Here is an 18,555-nt window from a genome sequence, read left to right on the forward strand (position 1 = left end):
GATGGGGTTTCACCATGTTGGCCAGGCTGGTCTTGAACTCCCGACCTCGTGATCCGCCCGCCTCAGCCTCCCCAAAGTGCTGGGATTACAGGCGTGAGCCACCGCGCCCGGCCTAAAATATACTTTCTAAACAGGTTGACATAGTGGTCAAAAAGAAACTATACTAGTGATGGAGCACATCTATTTTCATCTTTTAAGAGCATCTAACAAATTTTTCACTTGCCCTTTACATTCCTAACTCTCAAGAGGTAGAAGATACGCATCATCTCAGTCAATTAAAAAGAATGATCCAGATATACATCATCCAGCATTATTAAGAAGCCAACACATCTAGGCTCTAGGTCAGACATGTCTTAGCAGCCAATATTGTATCAGACAAACCACCATTTCACATACATCCATTTGCACATTTAAAAATGAGAGCACAGTTAACATCATGCTGGATTGTTACCACAGTCCCATATCTACCTTTCAGAGAATCAAACAGTATGACACACATAAAATTCCTTTGTAAATCAGCTCTATTAAGAGTGAACTAACTTACTTCTAACTGGGAAAAAGAGCTTGCAGTATGGACACAAGAAACCAGGCAGGAAAGAAAGGGAGGTGGGGGTAGGATCTTGCAATGAAGAACAAACCCAGCTATGTTCAGCTTGCTATGCCACTTCTATGGGCCACAGGAAAGTTTCACAATAAGAGATAAATAAACAATTCAATTTTTTCCACTTTATAGCACAACTGAAAGCAAAACCAATACAGCCCTAACACAGGTTGACAACCACAACTGTTCCCCAACTGATATAACTTGTAGAAATTAGGATCTAGCTACTTCCTCTCTGTATATTCACTCCAAGATGCAGTGAAATGGCCCCCTAGGAGAGGTGAGGAGCCCTGCCTAGAAAAGTGGTGTTCTCTACTGTCTAAGTTACTACCCAAAACAGTACAGCTGGTTCAGACTATAACTGCAGCATGACTTTACTACCGACACCAGCATTCAATCTACCACAAGTGCTACAAAATATTTAAACCAGAAGGATGACATCATTATCATCATATTTTCAAAACCATCAGCACTTCACTTTTTCCAATCAAGCTAATTCAATAAAACAGAGTACCCATTTTTACACTAGCTTCCACCTAGTAAACCAGATTTCATCACTACTCCATCTCTTTGGAGCAAATAAGATACTACAGTATCATAGCCAAATCAGCTACAACAGTAGCCATACTGTTGTATGTATACATACACAGAGCAAACTCAATAGTCATTCCAAGACTCTTTATAGACAGCAATTAATTCATACACCCAGGTGATCAATGGAGAGTCACATCACAGGCAGACTGCCCTTATATTCATACAGCAGCGACTCCAAACCAAGGGGTAGGGCAGGAAGTACACTAGTCCCCCACTTATCCACAGAGCATATGTTCCAGACCCCCCAGTGGATGCTTGAAACCACAGATAGAACCAAACTCTATATATACTATGTCTTTTCCTATACATATATACTTATTAGTTTAATCTGTAAATTGGGCAAAGTAAAAGATTAACAACAACAATAATAAAAAAGAACAATTATACTGTAATAAAGTTATATGAATGTGGTCTCTCAAAACATCTTATTGTGCTATAATCACCTATTTTCAGACCATGGATGACCACAGATAACCAAAATTGTGGAAAGCAAAACTGTGGATAAGGGGGACTACTATATATGAAATACAGAATAGCCAAATTCATAAAGACAGAAAGTAGATTAGACACTGCCAGAGACTCGGGGAAGGGAAATGGGAAATTACTGCTTAGTAGGTACAGAGTTTCTGTTTGGAATGATAGAAAAGTTCTGGAAAAAGTAGTAATGAACGAACAACACTGTGAATGCAACTGTGCCACCAAATTGTACAGCTAAAATGGCAAATTTTATTTTGTACATATTTTACCACATTTTTAAGTTTTTTAGAAACCTATTATACATTACTAAAATTAAACAATAACCTTAATGAGATATACCATGTTCATAAGTTAGAAGACTATTAACACGTTAATTTGTATGTCATTACATATTAAAAATTGTACAATATGTAAATTCCCAAACTCCATTATAAACCCAACAATACAGCATCATAATTTTTGCTTCAAGTCACAGGTACTTGTTTTTAAAATAAGGAAAAATATAGTTTATAAAAATTAGAGTAAATTATGTATTTACTAGTTTTGATGTTGATTTCCTCCTGTAGATGGTACTTGCCATCTGGTGCCATTTCCCTTGAAATTGATTCCTTTAGAAATGCTTGCAATGGTGGCTGGCTGGTGAAAATTTCCCAGTTTTGGTTTATCTGAACATGTATTTATTTTACCTTCACTTCTAGCTGAACACAGAATTCTTATTTGATAGCTTTTTGCCTTTCAGCTGAATATACCATATCCATGGCTAGAGGTCGCCATTGTTTCTGGTAAGATATTTCTGGCTACTTTCAAGAAATTCTCTGGTATTGAGCAATTTGACCACTTATGTGCTAACATCTGTTTTTTTGTGTGTGTTTATCCTGCTTGAAGTTTGCTGAGCTTCCTGGATATGTAAATTGATACTTTCCACCAAAGTTGTGGGGGTTTTCAGCCATTATTTATTCCCCATCTGAGACTCCATTTAGATGCATGTTCAAACATTGTATTACCCCAAAGGTCTCTCAAACTCTGCTTATTTTTCTCCATTCTTTCTCTTTCAAATAGATGACTTTTATTAATCTATCTTTAACTGATTCTTTTGCCATCTCCAAACAACTGTTTTGCTTGGCCGAGCACAGTGGCTCACGCCTGTAATCAAAGTACTTTGGGAGGCCAAGGTAGGCAGATCACCTGAGGTCGGGAGGGAGTTCAAGACCAGCCTGGCCAACATGGTGAGACCCTGTCTCTACTAAAAATACAAAAATTAGCCAGACATGTTGGTGCATGTCTGTAATCCCAGCTACTCAGGAGGCGGAGGTTGTGGTGAGCCGAGATCGCACCACTGCACTCCAGCCTGGGCGACGGAGCAAGACTCCACCACAAAATAAAATAAAATAAAATATAATATAAAAATTTCATTCCAGTTACTGATCTCAACCCTAAAATTCTCTTTTGCTTCTTCTTTACAGTATCTGTTTCTCTGTTTTGATCTCCTATCTATTCACTGAACAAGACTTTATTGTTTTTTATTGGCATTATTTTTTATTGCTGTACTGTAAATTTTATTATGTTTTTTCCCAACTATTTTTGATCCACGGTTGGTTGAATCTGCAAATGCAGAAACATGGAAACAGAGGGGTGACTGTATTTTTCTTTAATCCTTTGAACATAGGACTCCTTAAATTCTTCTGATTATATTTAGGGCTATTTTAAAGTCCTTGCTTGCTAAATCCAATATCTGGCTATACTTGGGGTTAATTTCTATTGAATGATTTTCTTTACCTGAAAATGAGTCATATTTCCACTTTATTTGCATATCTAATAATTTTTAGTTGAAAATACACATTGTAAATAGCAAGTTATAGCAACCAGATTTTGTCGCAATCTTTCAAAGGACCATTTGGTTTTCATGTTGTATGATTCTAATGGGCTCGTATGGACTCAAACTGCAAACTTCAGTAAGTCCTCACTTAATACCATCGATAGGTCTTGGAAACAGCAACTTGAAGCAAAACACAAACAGCAAGGTCCTTGAATACTGTCGTTTCCTTTAACACTGCTTTGTTATACAACTGATGAGAAAAAAATGTTCTGTTATACGTTGTTTCAGTTAAAGTCAGATTCCAAGAACCTATCAATAATGTTAAGTGAGGACTTACTGTGTGTCTCCCTTATAGTAAGCAACAATGATTTTGCTTAGTTCTTTCACCTTCCAGCTGCTTCCTTCTTCTAACCTGATGCCCAGGGCATCCCCTCTGCACCTGGGTAGTCTGGTGGTCAGTGAAGGAAATGGGCAGAGATTATACTGAGATGTGTGGCCTACATCCTCTGATGTTATCTTGCTTTCAGTGTTTGTTCCCTAAATTTTAACTCTTCTGTCAACAATATGTTCTGTGCTCTGATACCTCAAGCCAGCTGTTGGCCACGCAAATTGCATGCAAGTTGAGAAATGTACTGTCAAAAAAAGAAGCAATCACAAATCTCACAGGGTTCAATTCTTTCAGGAGCAGATTCCGCTCTTGTTTCTGCCTGTTTTTACACTGGGTCCCCTGGGGTCTCCCCTATGCATGTATAGTTTCGTGATTAGCCATGATTTGGACAGAGTTTACACTCAGATTTTGGATCTTACTTATTGCTTCCATGATTCCCCTGAGTAAATTTCCAACTGCCAGGCTACCCGTAACTTCTTTCCTATGCCACTGAAAGACAGGAGGCGAAAATGCACCATAAGGCAAGAAAGCCACAAACATACAATTACACATTGCAGTTGGAGGCTCTCATCTGGCTTTGCTTTTTTGGTTACTTTCCATGGCTTTTAAAACAGTTAAAGTTTTTCTTTCAATATTTTGTCCAGATCTTATAATTGTTAGCTGAAAGATGGTTCACTCAACCACTTCACTAGCATCACTGCATTCTTAAAAGAAGAATCTCGAAATTCTAATTAATGAAAAATTTCTCACATCCTTGATTTCTATTCCTTCCACCAAGTTAAAATCTTTACCTCATCAGACAAGAATTTGAAGTACTCCCACTTCCACTTCCAGTCTTTTTTTTTTTTTTTTTTTAATCTCACATAGTACACTGAGTAATTTCTTGTCTGGTATATTACTTGTATCATTATAAAGAATGTTTTTGGCTGGGTGTGGTGGCTTATGCCTGTAATCCCAGCACTTTGGGAGGCTGAGACAGGTGGGTCACTTGAGGCCAGGAGTTCAAGACCAGCCTGGTCAACATGGTGAAACTCCATCTATACTAAAAATACAAAAATTAGCTGGGCGTGGTGGTGGGCGCCTGTAATCCCAGCTACTTGGAGGCTGACGCATGAGAATCACTTGAATCCAGGAGGCAGAGGTTGCAGTGAGCCGACACATCACACCACTGCACTCCAGCCTGGGCGACACAGTGAGACTTTCTGTCTCAAAAAAAAAAAGAATGTTTTCTGTGAAAACTAGGAAACATGTCACCAGAAACTTCGTTGTAAGTTTAAACTCCACCATTACCCACAAAACCATAAGGAAATCACAATCTCTGTGATTTTTATTTCCACCATCTGCAGACAAAAATGTCATCTTCCTCATTAGTCAAACTTAGGACCAAAATATGACAACTAATATTAACAAGTGTAGACAAGAAGTGGTCAGAGATATTACAGGGCTTGTGACATGAGAATAGGTGGACAGTTAAAACCATTATCTTAAGAAAAAAAAAGACAGATAAGGAGTTAGTTCATGATTCAAAAAGCATTTACTTAGTTCCAACCATATAGCAAGCATTGTACAAGACAAACTTTCCACTGGGAAATAACAATTTTGGGGTGCTAAGGACCTGGCGACTGAGAAAGTGGTAAAACAGGTCACTAAGAAAAATGTGGTATTTCTGAGTCATCAAATTTGTGATAATCTACATAATGAACACGAGACCATCTCCTCAAAATGATGTGTAATGAAAAAGAGCTAAGAGCAAAGCTTCAACCCAATTTATATATAAGTGGTATATAAAAGAAGAAAGCAGTAACAAAGAAAACAAACATTTAGCCAGAGAGAGGAGAAAAACCATTAAGGTTTATTACAGAAGACAAAGGAGAAGTGAATGTTAAGCAGCAAAAAAACAAATGCTAAAAAAGACAGGAATGGATGAAAAGTGAAAAGACAAAGATTTAGCCATTTGGAACTCAGTTTTATCTTGGAAATAATAGCATGTTTACGGCCAGATCCGTCCAGCTAATGTTTATCTACCTAGTTAAGTAAGAAATGTGTTTACTTACACTTAAGAAAGCTGAACACTAGTAGAAATAATAGTCAAACTTCAGAAAGTAATTGAGTAAGAGTTGAGAAATTGGAGACACCTAGAATGGACTATAACAACCTTGGAGATAATGGGAAGGAAGTAACGTACTTTTCAAGATTAAGTCTGATAAGGCAGAGAACCCAGCATGGAGCATTAAGAGGAAGAAAAATAGTAGAGGAAAGAAGGGCTAAGATTAAAAACAGAGATAATAAGCTTTTGAAATGAAAACACTTTATTCTTTAAGACAGACTGAGGAAAAAGGGTATAAAATATGAAATGAAAAAGGAATAAGAGAACTAGGGATAGGACTGTTCATTTGAGCACAGTAGAATGGTTCCAAATAACTAACATGCAGAATGAAACAGATCAAAAAGATAAAAATTACCAGGAAGGAACCTGCATAAACTAGGAAGGGAAAATGTTAATTTGTACTAGAAACCTCTCAAGGCAGGAAACTGATGAAACTCTAGCAACGCTAGGCAGCACATGAAGAGGAAACAAAAGCAGAAGAAATGAACAGTTGTAATTAATTAAAATGACAGACTAGAAATTGTGTGAAGACAGTTAAAGAGATTTTGGAAATCTCAGGTATTCAAAATAATAAAGTCAAGACGTCTATGTATGTGGCTTAATCTGGATTAAGTTTTTCATTAAAGAAGTAAATATTGAAAAAAGCTTTTAAGAAATATTCTCTGCAATGATGTGATTACTGCAATAACTTTATTGGAAGAAAAAGGGGTCAGTATTACTGTTCAATGATTTGCAGACATTTGTGCAAAAACAGTATTGGCAATTAGAATAATCCAAGTCCAGTTGAGCCTTTCTGAGTAAGATTAGTAATCAAAGATCCATCTAATGAAGAACAATTTAATTGTTCTATTCATATAACCAGAACCAGTATCTCCAAGGTGTATTATTGGTCAGCAGAGCAGCAAAGCAGGACATGACCTGAGAAGCTGTGCTACCTATTATATATGGAAGCGACTATAGACTCTAGTGACAAATTAGTGGTTTAAAGGGTACTTACCTTCAAGGAAAAAAAAAAGTCTCTACTGACATCAAAACCTTATTTAAAATATAAATACTTAAAGAAAATTAATGTATACTCAATTATTATGATAGTAAGCACACAGAACAAGAGAAGGGAAGAGGAAAGAATCGGATATAAAAGCTATTTTGCCTTAATTCAGCCATAAATAGGTCACCAAAATCCTCTTAATTACCACATTTGATATAAACAATTGGAGGTAGCTCTCAATTATGTCTTTTCCTTACTGTCATCACAATTGAAAATTTAACAACATCATTAATAAGTTTTTCATTTCCTTTTCCATTGCTAAATTTCCATGAATACTATAACATAAACCATAAGAATATCAATGTATAGAACAATATTACCCATCTGGCCAGGCGCGGTGGCTCATGCCTGCAATCCCAGCACTTTGGGAGGCCAAAGTGGGTGGATACCTGAGGTCAGGAGTTAGAGACCAGCCTGTCCAACATGGTGAGACCCCATCTCTACTAAAAATACAAAAATTAGCCGGGCATGATGGCATGCGCCTATAATCCCAGCTACTCAGGAGGCTGACACAGGAGAATCGCTTGAACCCAGGAGGCAGAGGTTGCAGTGAGCCAAGATCATGCCACTGCACTCCAGCCTGGGCGACAGAGTGAGACTCTTTCTCAAAAAAAAAAAAAAAAAAGAGAACAATATTACCCATCTAATAGCCACTCAAGTGACTGTTAGCCAATGAACACCATGATTTTAAATCAACTAACAAGAATATCAGTGATCCTAGCACTATAAAATCTCATCAAAATAGGCCGTTATTTGAAGTTGACAAAGAATACTGTCAAATAACATGAAAGGTAAGAATAGTCAATTCCCCTAATAAAAACACATCTAGCGCATTTATATTACAACCTCAACCTTACACAGAAAGCTAATGCTTTGAAGACAAGTGACATTCCACTGTTACACACCATTTCTCCAGAAACTAAACTAGACAACATTATAGGTCAAAATACATGAAATACACCTTCAACTGATCACATAACGTCACATAACGATAAAAAATAAGGAACTAAATTGGTACCTTAAAAATTAAAGACACTGGCTGGGCGCAGTGGCTCAAGCCTGTAATCCCAGCACTTTGGGAGGCAGAGGCAGGTGGTCACCTGAGGTCAGGAGTTTGAGACCAGCCTGACCAACATGGTGAAACCCCGTCTCTTCTAAAAATACAAAAATTAGTCAGGTTTGGTGGCACATGCCTGTAATCGCAGCTACTCGGGAGGCTCAGGCATGAGAATCACTTGAACCCGGGAGGCAGAGGTTGCAGTGAGCCAAGATTGTGCCACTGCCCTCCAGCCTGGGCAACAGAGCGAGACTCCATTTCAAAAAAAAAAAAAAATTAAAGACATTTACTTAATAGAGGAAAAACTTACATATTCCATACATAAGTTTACAAAAACACCAAAATATCATTGCTTAAAAATAATCTGGGTTGGGCGTGGTGGCTCACACCTGTAATCCCAGCACTTTGGGAGGCCGAGGTGGGCGGATCACGAGGTCAGGAGATCGAGACCATCCTGGCTAACATGGTGACATGCCATCTCTACTAAAAATACAAAAAATTAGCCAGGCGCGGTGGCGGGCACCTGTAGTCCCAGCTACTCGGGAGGCTGAGGCAGGAGAATGGCGTGAACCCAGGAGGCAGAGCTGGCAGTGAGCTGAGATCGCGCCACTGCACTCTGGCCTGAGCGAAAGAGCGAGATTCCGTCTCAAAATAATAATAATAATAATCTGTACAAGATTAAAATCAGTGAGATTATCAAAATCTATTCCTTCTTCACAAGAAAGATAAGAACCTGATAATCCTTAGTCTAAAAAGCAATGGTTTCTTAAACTATGAAATAAAATATGCAGTAATTGTCATAATAAACTATTGATATGGTTTGGCTGTGTCCAAACCCAAATCTCATCTTGAATTGCAGTTCTCACAATCCCCAAGTGTTGTGGTGGGACCCAGTGCAAGGTAATCGAATCATGGGGATGATGACCTCCATGCTGTTCTCATAATAGTGACTGAGTTCCCACAAGATCTGATGGTTTTATAAGGGGCTTTTCCCCCGATTCACTCTGCACTTCTCCTTGCTGTCACCATGTGTTTGGTTCCTCTTCTGCCACAACTGTAAGATTCCTGAGGCCTCTCCAGCCCTGAGGAACTGTGAGTCAATTAAGCCTCTTTCCTTTATAAACTACCCAGTCTTGGGTATATGTCTTTATCAGCAGCGTGAGAACGGACTAATAACATCTATTAAGGATGGCCCCTCCCTTCTTCAATCCAAAAAAAACTAAACATAAATTCACAAGACTAATATCAATAAACATATCACACACAGCTAATATTTTCACAGTAACACATGGGATCAAAACGTAAGGTTTTGCTTAAAACAATTAGCTGAGGAACTGAAGCACAAATACAAGGATAATTGCCTCCTTTGGGCTTTGACTGTCAAACACAAGAAATGCCAATGCTTTTTCGTAGTCCTATGACGATTAAAACTTTGTCATAGACCCAGGCTATCAGTGAGTATTTATTTAAAAACAAATCTGCAATATAACACCAAAAGAACAAGCAACAAAAAACAGATCAGCTGAACTTCAAAATTAAAACTTTTCTGCTTCAAAGGACACCATCATAAAAGTAAAGAGATAATCCATAGGAGAAAATATTTGCAAATCATGTATGTGATAAGGGACTAGTTTCCAGAATATATAAAGAATGTTTACAATATTCAACATTAAAAAGATAATCTTTTTTTTTTTAATGGGCAAAGGAGTTGAACAGATATTTCTCCAAAGAAGATATATGGTCAATAAGCATGTGAAATGATGCTTATCATTAGTCATTATCCAAATCAAAATCACAATGGGATACAACTTCATACCTACTAGAATGGCTGAAATACAAAAGACTGACAATAAGTGTTTATGAGGTCGTGGAGAAATTACAATCCTCATACATTGTTGGTGGTATTGTAAAATGGTACAGCCATTTTGAGAGTTCCTCAAAGAGTTACACACAGGTACTATATTATCGAGCAATCCCACCCCATCCATATATACTCAAAAACGTATCTACACAAAACTTATATAAGAATGTTCACAGAAAAGCGCTCCTAATAGCCAAAAAAAGAAGTGGATACAACTCATTAACTGATGAATACACAAATGATATACAAAGAAATATTCAGCCACAAAAATGAATGAAACACTGATACATGCTACAACATGAGTGAAGCTTTAAATATCATGCTAAATTAAAGAAGCCAGACACAAAAGGACAAATATTTTATGATTCTGTTTTTATAAAATGCCCAGAATAGGCAAACCTATACAAACAGAAAGTGTATTAGTGGTTGCCTAGGGCTGGGTGATAGAGGGCGTCCAGAAGAAGGATGATGAAAGTAACCTAAGATTACAAAGTACTGGTAGTTGCATAACTTGGTGAATATATTAAAATATCACTGAATTGTACACTTAGAGATGAAATCTCCTGGTATATAAATTTCATCTCAATAAAACTGTCACTAAAATTAATAAATTTGCTAAGATGAAATATACATGATAAGCATATAACACAAAGACGACTGCTTCCCTCTAACTCAAATATACGCATCAATAGGGAAAAAAATGACAATAAGTTACTCTTTTGTACTTAATACAACTCCAGAAATCAGTTACCACCTTCTAAAGTAGTAAAAATCTGTTTAAGAGATCTCTGTGGCATCATTTGCTCCTAAAAGTATTTATATTTATTACAAATTTACAGTAAACAGAACAGTATAACTGTTGAACATTTAGGCACCTACTGTAGTTACTATAAAATTTAAGAAAAATAATTTGGTCAAATATTTGCTGTTTCAAACACATTAAAAAGTATAATAAAAGAAGCCAATGCTTATCACTAAATATTTCCTCCTTAATAATCTGCTATTGACTATATTAAAAACAACCAAAAGCCTATACTATGACACCTCATTATGCAATGTCTCAGCACTTCTTTCCCATTCTGAAGCATATTTAATAACTTTAAAATCTATTATGATTAACCAAATCATTTTATATCTATATAATCACCATAGTACACAGGTATAAAATACTATGTAGTTGAAGTAAAATACATTCTGAGATTGACTCACCTACCTTTACTCAAAAATAAAAAAGTAAAAGCTTTATCTATGAAATCATAAGTTTATGAAATTCTTAACTACAGACACCTACAAAATTTTTCATATTTTAAGCTTGGAACAAAGAATAATCTAAACAGGAAATGCATAGACCCTGACCACAGTATTTGGTTCATGTTGGCATGTTGCAGCAAACAGGACCTAAATACAAGGAGGAGTCAAGCAATGGATGGCTAAAGAACAAATCTGTATTAGTGTTTTCACAAAAAAGAAATACTACAAAATCTCAAGTAGGGGAAATCCTGTTTTATTCATAAAGTATTAGCATTCCTGCTCACTAAAACCATTTCTTTCCTTGAACTCTTAATAATAAGGCTGTACACTGAAAGAATCTCTGGACACAACATAAAGAACAAGAGAGAAAAGGATTGGAATAGGTTTAAGGAGACAAAAATTCTAGTAACCAAGTAAAATTTAAAATATTAATTATAACTATAATTTACACTCACTATTGTAAATGTCATTCATGTAGCATATGTGTAAACTTAAGTAACACGCAAAATATTTAACATGGAGAATATTTACTTACCAAATATTTAGATAGCCTTTTTAAAATCCTGCTGGTGGTTGAGATTCCCTATATAATAAAATTTTTTAAAAAAGAAGATGAAACCATTTTCAACTTCAGAGTTACACCTACTCTGTAATGTCTACCTAAGAATTCCATTTAATGACGGTAATTTGTTTCAGTAAAACAGTTTAAAATCCAAACCATATGCTAAAACTTTGGTATATTATACATATGAAACAATTTTTTCATAGCCTTATAATTTAAATTTTATAGGTAATATATAGAGATGCTAATGAATTATAAAGACATTGGCTGAATTTACTAGACCATGTAAAGAATGAGCTCTATCACAACTTAGACAAAAAATTATAGATCAAGACCACGGCATGCTAACAATGTCTTAGGGAAGCATTCATGCATTCAGTTCTTCCTGACAATCAACATATAATGTAACACATTCTGGTATCTAGTTACCATCTTTTAAGTGGCACCTAGACAATCTAACTATAGAGTCTACTGAGTTAAAACAGAGCCAATAAAGTGGGAAAATATTTCACACAGTATTCATTCTATGTTTATTAAAAAATTAACATGAGGAAGCATTTAAAAATCCATCCTATGTTGGTACTTAAAAATTAAAATATTTTATGCATAACAAAAAGAAATGTATAATGGGCAAATCAATTTTACTATTTACAAAAGCTAGCGGTTAATAATTTTATAATAAACTTATAGTACAAATCCTTTGCATCAAGTCGAGTCCAATTTATTTCAAAAATCTAGAATAAAAAGCACTAAATAATATTTATGAAGCTCTTCTTGTCTGCCAGGCAATTTACTCTGTATTTGAAAAAGCATATACATACATTTTTTAATCACCTCATGCCTCACGGAGATTAAGTCATCTGCTTAAACATTGTAGCTGCATTTGATGATAAAACTCAGTATTTTTAAACTACCAGTATGACTCCTCAAAAACAAAACATAACAAATAAGACATAAAATGACATATTAAGTAAAACTGACTGCCTTCTCTAAAGTCAGGAATAAAGCTGTTTTTAAATTCCTCTTAAAGAATCTGCAGAGTAAAAATCACATATCATAACTAGCAGAAAATGTTGCCATACTAGAAATTATAATATCACATATAAAAATAAAAATGCTTTCTCATGAGTAAGCCACATCAATAGATTTTCTATGACTACTACTGTTAAAATCAAAATCAGTAAAATGAATAACATCTATCCACAAGCCACAGAAAAGGTGGGAAAAAAAATAAGATATATTAGAGACCTATATATATAAAATTTTAAATAATAAAGCTTATATAGTGACAAGATAAATACTGTCACGATATTTAGGCATAGATTTAATACACAGCACATAAAAAAACTGAATTTCATTACAAACAAACAATTTCATTACAATTACAGGGAGGGAAGGAAGGAGGGAAGGAAGGAGAGAAGGAAGGAGGGAAGGAGGGAAGGAAGGAAGGAAAAAGGGAAGGAAGGAGGGAAGGAAAGAGAGAAGGAAGGAGGGAAGGAAGGAGGGAAGCAGGGAGGGAAAGGGGGAGGGAAGGGGAAGGGAATGGGGAGGGAGGGAGGGAGGGAAGGATGGAAGGAAGGAAGGAGAGAGAAAGGAAGAGAGAAAGAGAGAGGGAAAGAGGGAAAGAGAGAAAGAAGGAAAGAAGGAAATGACTGGCGCAGTGGCTCACACCTGTAATCCCAGCATTTTGGGAGACCCAGGCAGGAGGACTGCTTGAGGCCAGGAGTCCGAGATTAGTGTGGGCAACATAGTGAGATTCTGTCTCTACAAAAAAATTTAAAAATTACCCAGGTGTGGTGGCACATACCTGCAGTCCCAGCTACTCAGAAGGCTGAAGCAGGAGGACTGCTTGAGCCCAAGAGTTCAAGGCCGCAATAAGCTATGATAAGGCCACTGCACTCCAGCCTGGGTGACAGAGTGAGACCCTGTCTCTTAAAAAATAAAATAAAATTTAAATAAATTAAAAATGAAAATGCAAGCTACAGTGTAGGAGAAAATATCAGCAATGCACATGTTCCACTAAAGACTCATACCCAAAATATATTCTTTAAAAATACTTCAACTCAACAAAAAAAACAAACCGATTTTTAAGATAGGCTAAAGACCAAACAAAACTTCACAAAGACATACTACTACCCTCCAAAATGACTAACTTTTATCTAAAAAAAGACAATACCAAGTGTAAGCAAAAATCTGTAGCAACTGACATTCTAAAATACTGCAGGTAAAAATGTATAATAATATAATACAAACAGTATGGGAAACTGTTCGGAAGTGTCTACTAAGCTGAAGATAAACCCAAAGACTAAGTGATACTACCCCTGAGCATACACTCAATGGAAATGTGTACATATATGCACAAAAAAATATGTACGAGAATTATCACAGCAGCACTATTTGTAAGAACCCAAAATTGATATAATTTGAATGTCCATCAGCAGAAGGGAGAAATAAACTAAGGATATTCACACAATGAAACCCTAAGCCTCAGTGAAAATGAAAAATGCTGTAAGCCAAATATCCATCTCAAAAACATACTGCTGTGGGAAAGAAGCCAGTTTGAAAAAACTTATAAATCATATAGTCTTATATACTTTATGATTTATAAAAATTCAAAAAAAAGCCAAGCTAATCTCTAATTACAAAGTCAGAATATTAATTACCTTTCATGTAAAGGAATATGACAGATACAGGGAAGCTCCTGAGAAGCTGATATCTTGATCTGGGTTGTGGTTACAAAAGTGTGTTCATTTTGTAAAGTTCATCAATATAAAAAGCTCATATATACTTTGTGTATGTAAATTATACAATTTTTAAGTTTTTCTAATCAAAGATGAAAAATTACCTCTCAATAACTTTAAGCCATCACACTAATTTACTAATTAAAAAATCTGAATCTCCTAATAATGTATTTCAATTTATTTCTATTTATTATATAAAGGTAAATTAAATATCTCTGGTCATTTTATATAAATATGTTTAAGAGTAGTTTCAATATAAATTTTACCAGCAAGGGATTCCTTATTATTTTCTACTAATGATAAAAAAAATTTCCCGTAAAATCTTGCTAATGCCCAGCCTGGCAACATAGGGAGACCCCGTCTCTATGAAAAATACATCTTTTTACTTAGCTGGGTGTGGTGATGTACACCTGTAGTCCCAGCTACTCAGGAGGCTGAGGTGGGAAGATAGCATGAGCCCAGGAGGTGAAGGCTACAGTGAGCAGTGACCTGCACTGCACTCCAGGCTGGGCGACAGAGCAAGACTGTCTCCAAAAACAAAAACAAAAACAAAAGTCTTGCTAATGCTTTCCTAGACAGACTCAAGTTAAATTTACAAATATGTAATTCTGCACACATTTTAAAAGCATTAATAGTTTAGTAAGATGTTGATTTCAAAAGCAACCAGATAGCCAAGCCAGGCATTCATAAAAACTTTAAAGCAAAGTACTCGGCCCTGTTGCTTAGAAAATCTTACATTTTTTAAAGCAGTACCTTTGGAATCTTTTGAAGAAAAACCTGTATATATATTTTAAAAGATGAGGTCTTACTCTTTTGCCCAGGCTGAAGTGCAGTGGCATTACCATAGCTCACCACAGCCTCAAACTCCTGGGCTCAAGCAATCCACCTCAGCTTCTGGAGTAGCTAGGACTACAGGTGTGCACCACCACGCCTGCCTAATTTTTTTTTTATTTTCCATAGAAACTGGGTCTTGTTATGTTGCCCAGGCTGCACAAAACTGACTTTTTAAGTCAGTCTAACTCCACAACCTCTCCAAGCATGAAACATGCTTCTTCCAATTCAGATACTTATCTTTCTAAATGGCATATTTTCACCAAGAATAACTTGAGACTTACAGTGATCATTATGGGCAACTTTTGATATGAACAAAATTGTTAATTTGAAAGGCACTCTAGAACAAAAAAGGAAAAAATCCCTCCCTTATGAGAAATTTGTCTTTTCTTCCTAAAAGAGAAAGATTAACTTATTGAAAATAAGGGAAACCTCCCCAGGGGTCACATATCTCAGCAAAAAAAAGACAAATACTAGACAGACTAGGAATATAGTTTAGGGTCCACTTTGAAGCCAAGAGCCAATGGTGACCAAATTAAGACAACAGATCCCATCCCAAACCTAAATAGCCCACAGAATCAGATAAAGGCTTATTAGGAAAATTAACCAAACTTTATAACTTCTAGTAACATTAAAGATCTCAGAGAAGACTGCAAAGATACAAGCAAAACAATCTTCCCTTAAAAGATGCACAATGAATTCAGCGACTGTATGCTGGTCATTCAGCAGTAAGTCTAATGAAGACTGCTCATGAATTCTAACCATGTAAATACTGGTAGTTTTAAATCTAGCATGTTTAGATAGTGTTCGTAAATTATTTTCCTAAGAGACTAATTATTTTGTTTTCAATTTTAATTATGGCGGTAGAAAAGTTGTAGCCAGCCAGGTAAAGGTTTTTAAAAAGCACAGACAACTAGTCAAGAGTTCTAAGTAGTTATGTGAACATCAGATTTTGAATGATCTAGGACAAAGCATTAGAAATCAATTCTCAAATTACCCATCACCTATTTGATTTAGCCTAATTGTAATATTTCACAAATCAAACTAGTACAAATCAACAGTTTATCTCTACCTTATACAGAATTGAATCCTATTATCTTGTATCTTTCAAAGGTCTTTTTAAAATTTCATCCCATAACATTTTTTTAAGATGGAGTCTCACTGTTGCCAGGCTGGAGTGCAATAGTATAATCTTGGCTCACTGCAACCTCCACCTCCCAGGTTCAAGTGATTCTCCTGCCTCAGCCTCTCAAGTAGCTGGGACTACAGGCGCACGCCACCACTCCCAGCTAATTTTTGTATTTTCAGTAGAGACGGGGTTTCACCATGTTAGCCAGGATGGTCTCGATCTCCCGACCTCATGATCCGCCCGTCTTGGCCTCCCAAAGTGCTGGTATTACAGGCGTGAGCCACCACGCCCGGCATGGTAGCAAACGCCAGTAATCCCAGCTACTCAGGAGGCTGAAGTGGGAGAATCACTTGAACCCAGGAAGCAGAGGTTGAGTGAGCAGAGATTGTGGCACTGCACTCCATCCTGGCTGACAGAGCAAGACTCTGTCTCAATAAATAAATATATGTATATTTATTTATATATATTAATAATAATAATGATAATAAGAGGCCAAGTGTGGTGGCTAATGCCTGTAATCCCAGTACAAGTGGGAGGATCACTTGAGACTGGAGTTCAAGACCAGCCTGTGAACACAGCAAGACCTCATCTCCACAAAAAATAAAAAACTTAGCCAGGCATGATGGCACATGCCTGTAATCCCAGCTACTCAGGAAGGCGGGGCAGGAAGACCACTTGGGCCCAACAGTTTGAAGCTGCAGTGAGCTTTGATCATACCGGTGCACTCCAGCCTTCGCAACTGAGCAAGACCCCATCTCTAAACATAACACTAATAATAAAAGAGTAATAAAACACCAGGAACAAAGCAAAGATGTGTTTTTACCACCTCTATTCAGCATTGTCCTGGAAAGCTCTAGCAAGTGCAATTAAGAAAGGAAATGAAATAAAAGGTATACAAATTTAAAATGAAATTTTGTAAAACAGCCTTTATTCAAAAGCATGTTGTCTATATAGAAAATCCAAAGGGTTTTATGATTATGATTTTAACAAGTTGTGGAATATAAAATCAATATGTAAAAATCGACCATATTTTTATATATCAGCAATAAGTTAGTACATCAAAAATTTTTAAAGCAGTAGCACTCACAATAGCATCTGGAAAAGATACACTTCCACAAAATATGTGCAGGATCTGCATGCTGAAAACTATAAAGCACTGATGAAAATAATCAAAGACCTAAAAAATGGAAAAATAACTATATTCATGGATTGGAAGGCTCAATATTGGCAAAATGTCAGTCTCCTCAGACTGACATGTACATTAAACATAACACCAATCAAAATCTCAAAGTATCTTTGTAGCTATCAACAAGCTGATTCCTAATTTATAAAGAAAATGCAAAGGTACTATAATATCCAAAACAATTCAGCAAAAGAACAAAATTTGAGAACACTAATTTCAATAACTACCATAAAACTGTTACTATTTAAGGCAATGATGTATTAGCAAGAGGACACACACAGAAATCAACAAAACAGAATAATAAATCCAGCAAAATATACTTACAAATAAGGGCAATTGATTTTTGACAAAGGTAAAAAGGCAGTTCACCGAAGGAAAAGATAGTCTCTTCAACAAATAGTGCTAGAACAAGTAAATATCCATACGCAAAAACAATGAACCTGAACTCTACCTCATAACTTATGCAAACAAAAGGTAATGCAAGACAGATCACAGATCTAAATGTAAGACACAAAATAATAAAACATCTGGACAAAACAAAGAAAAAAACTCTGTGATTTTCAACTAGGCAAAAAGTTCCTAAGACAATTCATAAGAGAAAAACCTGATAGTAATCAAAATTAGAAACTTCTGTTCTGTAAAAGAGATTGAAGAATATGAAAAGACAGGTCACAGACTCAGAGAAAATACTTGCAAATCACACATCTGACAAAGGACTGTACCCAGAATCAAGAAAGAACTCTCAAACTCAACAATAAGAAAGCAAATAACCTGATTTTAAAAGCCAGCTAACTATTTGAACAGATACTTCACTATCTTCTGTCAGATAAATCAGAGTGGTATACTCATGAAAAAAATTTGCCTTAAGACAAAATAGTATAGAAATGAGCAGAAAATATTATTGGGAGA

At 36.0% G+C, this 18,555-nt stretch overlaps 1 protein-coding gene across 13 annotated transcripts in view, besides 1 other annotated feature; it reads right to left on the reverse strand.

Moving 5' to 3' along the window:
• FBXW7 (F-box and WD repeat domain containing 7) overlaps window positions 1–18,555 on the reverse strand; it is a 215,549-nt gene that overhangs the window by 137,662 nt on the left and 59,332 nt on the right. For 2 of the 13 annotated variants that reach the window (XM_024454123.2, XM_047415897.1), the window contains one exon: window positions 11,736–11,783. The exons of the other annotated variants lie outside the window; for them this stretch is intronic. The gene's annotated coding sequence lies outside the window, so the exon portion shown is untranslated. The remainder of the gene's footprint in view (window positions 1–11,735; window positions 11,784–18,555) is intronic. 13 annotated transcript variants of the gene reach the window in all.
• Window positions 4,088–4,137: an enhancer, noted in NCBI's record as "active region_22030". NCBI's record gives its function as "activates an Ori minimal core promoter by ATAC-STARR-seq in GM12878 lymphoblastoid cells {active_cell/tissue: GM12878}" and the evidence as "EXISTENCE:reporter gene assay evidence [ECO:0000049][PMID:35858748]".

The sequence above is a fragment of the Homo sapiens genome, chromosome 4 (genome assembly GCF_000001405.40).
Source record: "Homo sapiens chromosome 4, GRCh38.p14 Primary Assembly".
Classification (NCBI taxonomy): Eukaryota; Metazoa; Chordata; class Mammalia; order Primates; family Hominidae; genus Homo; species Homo sapiens.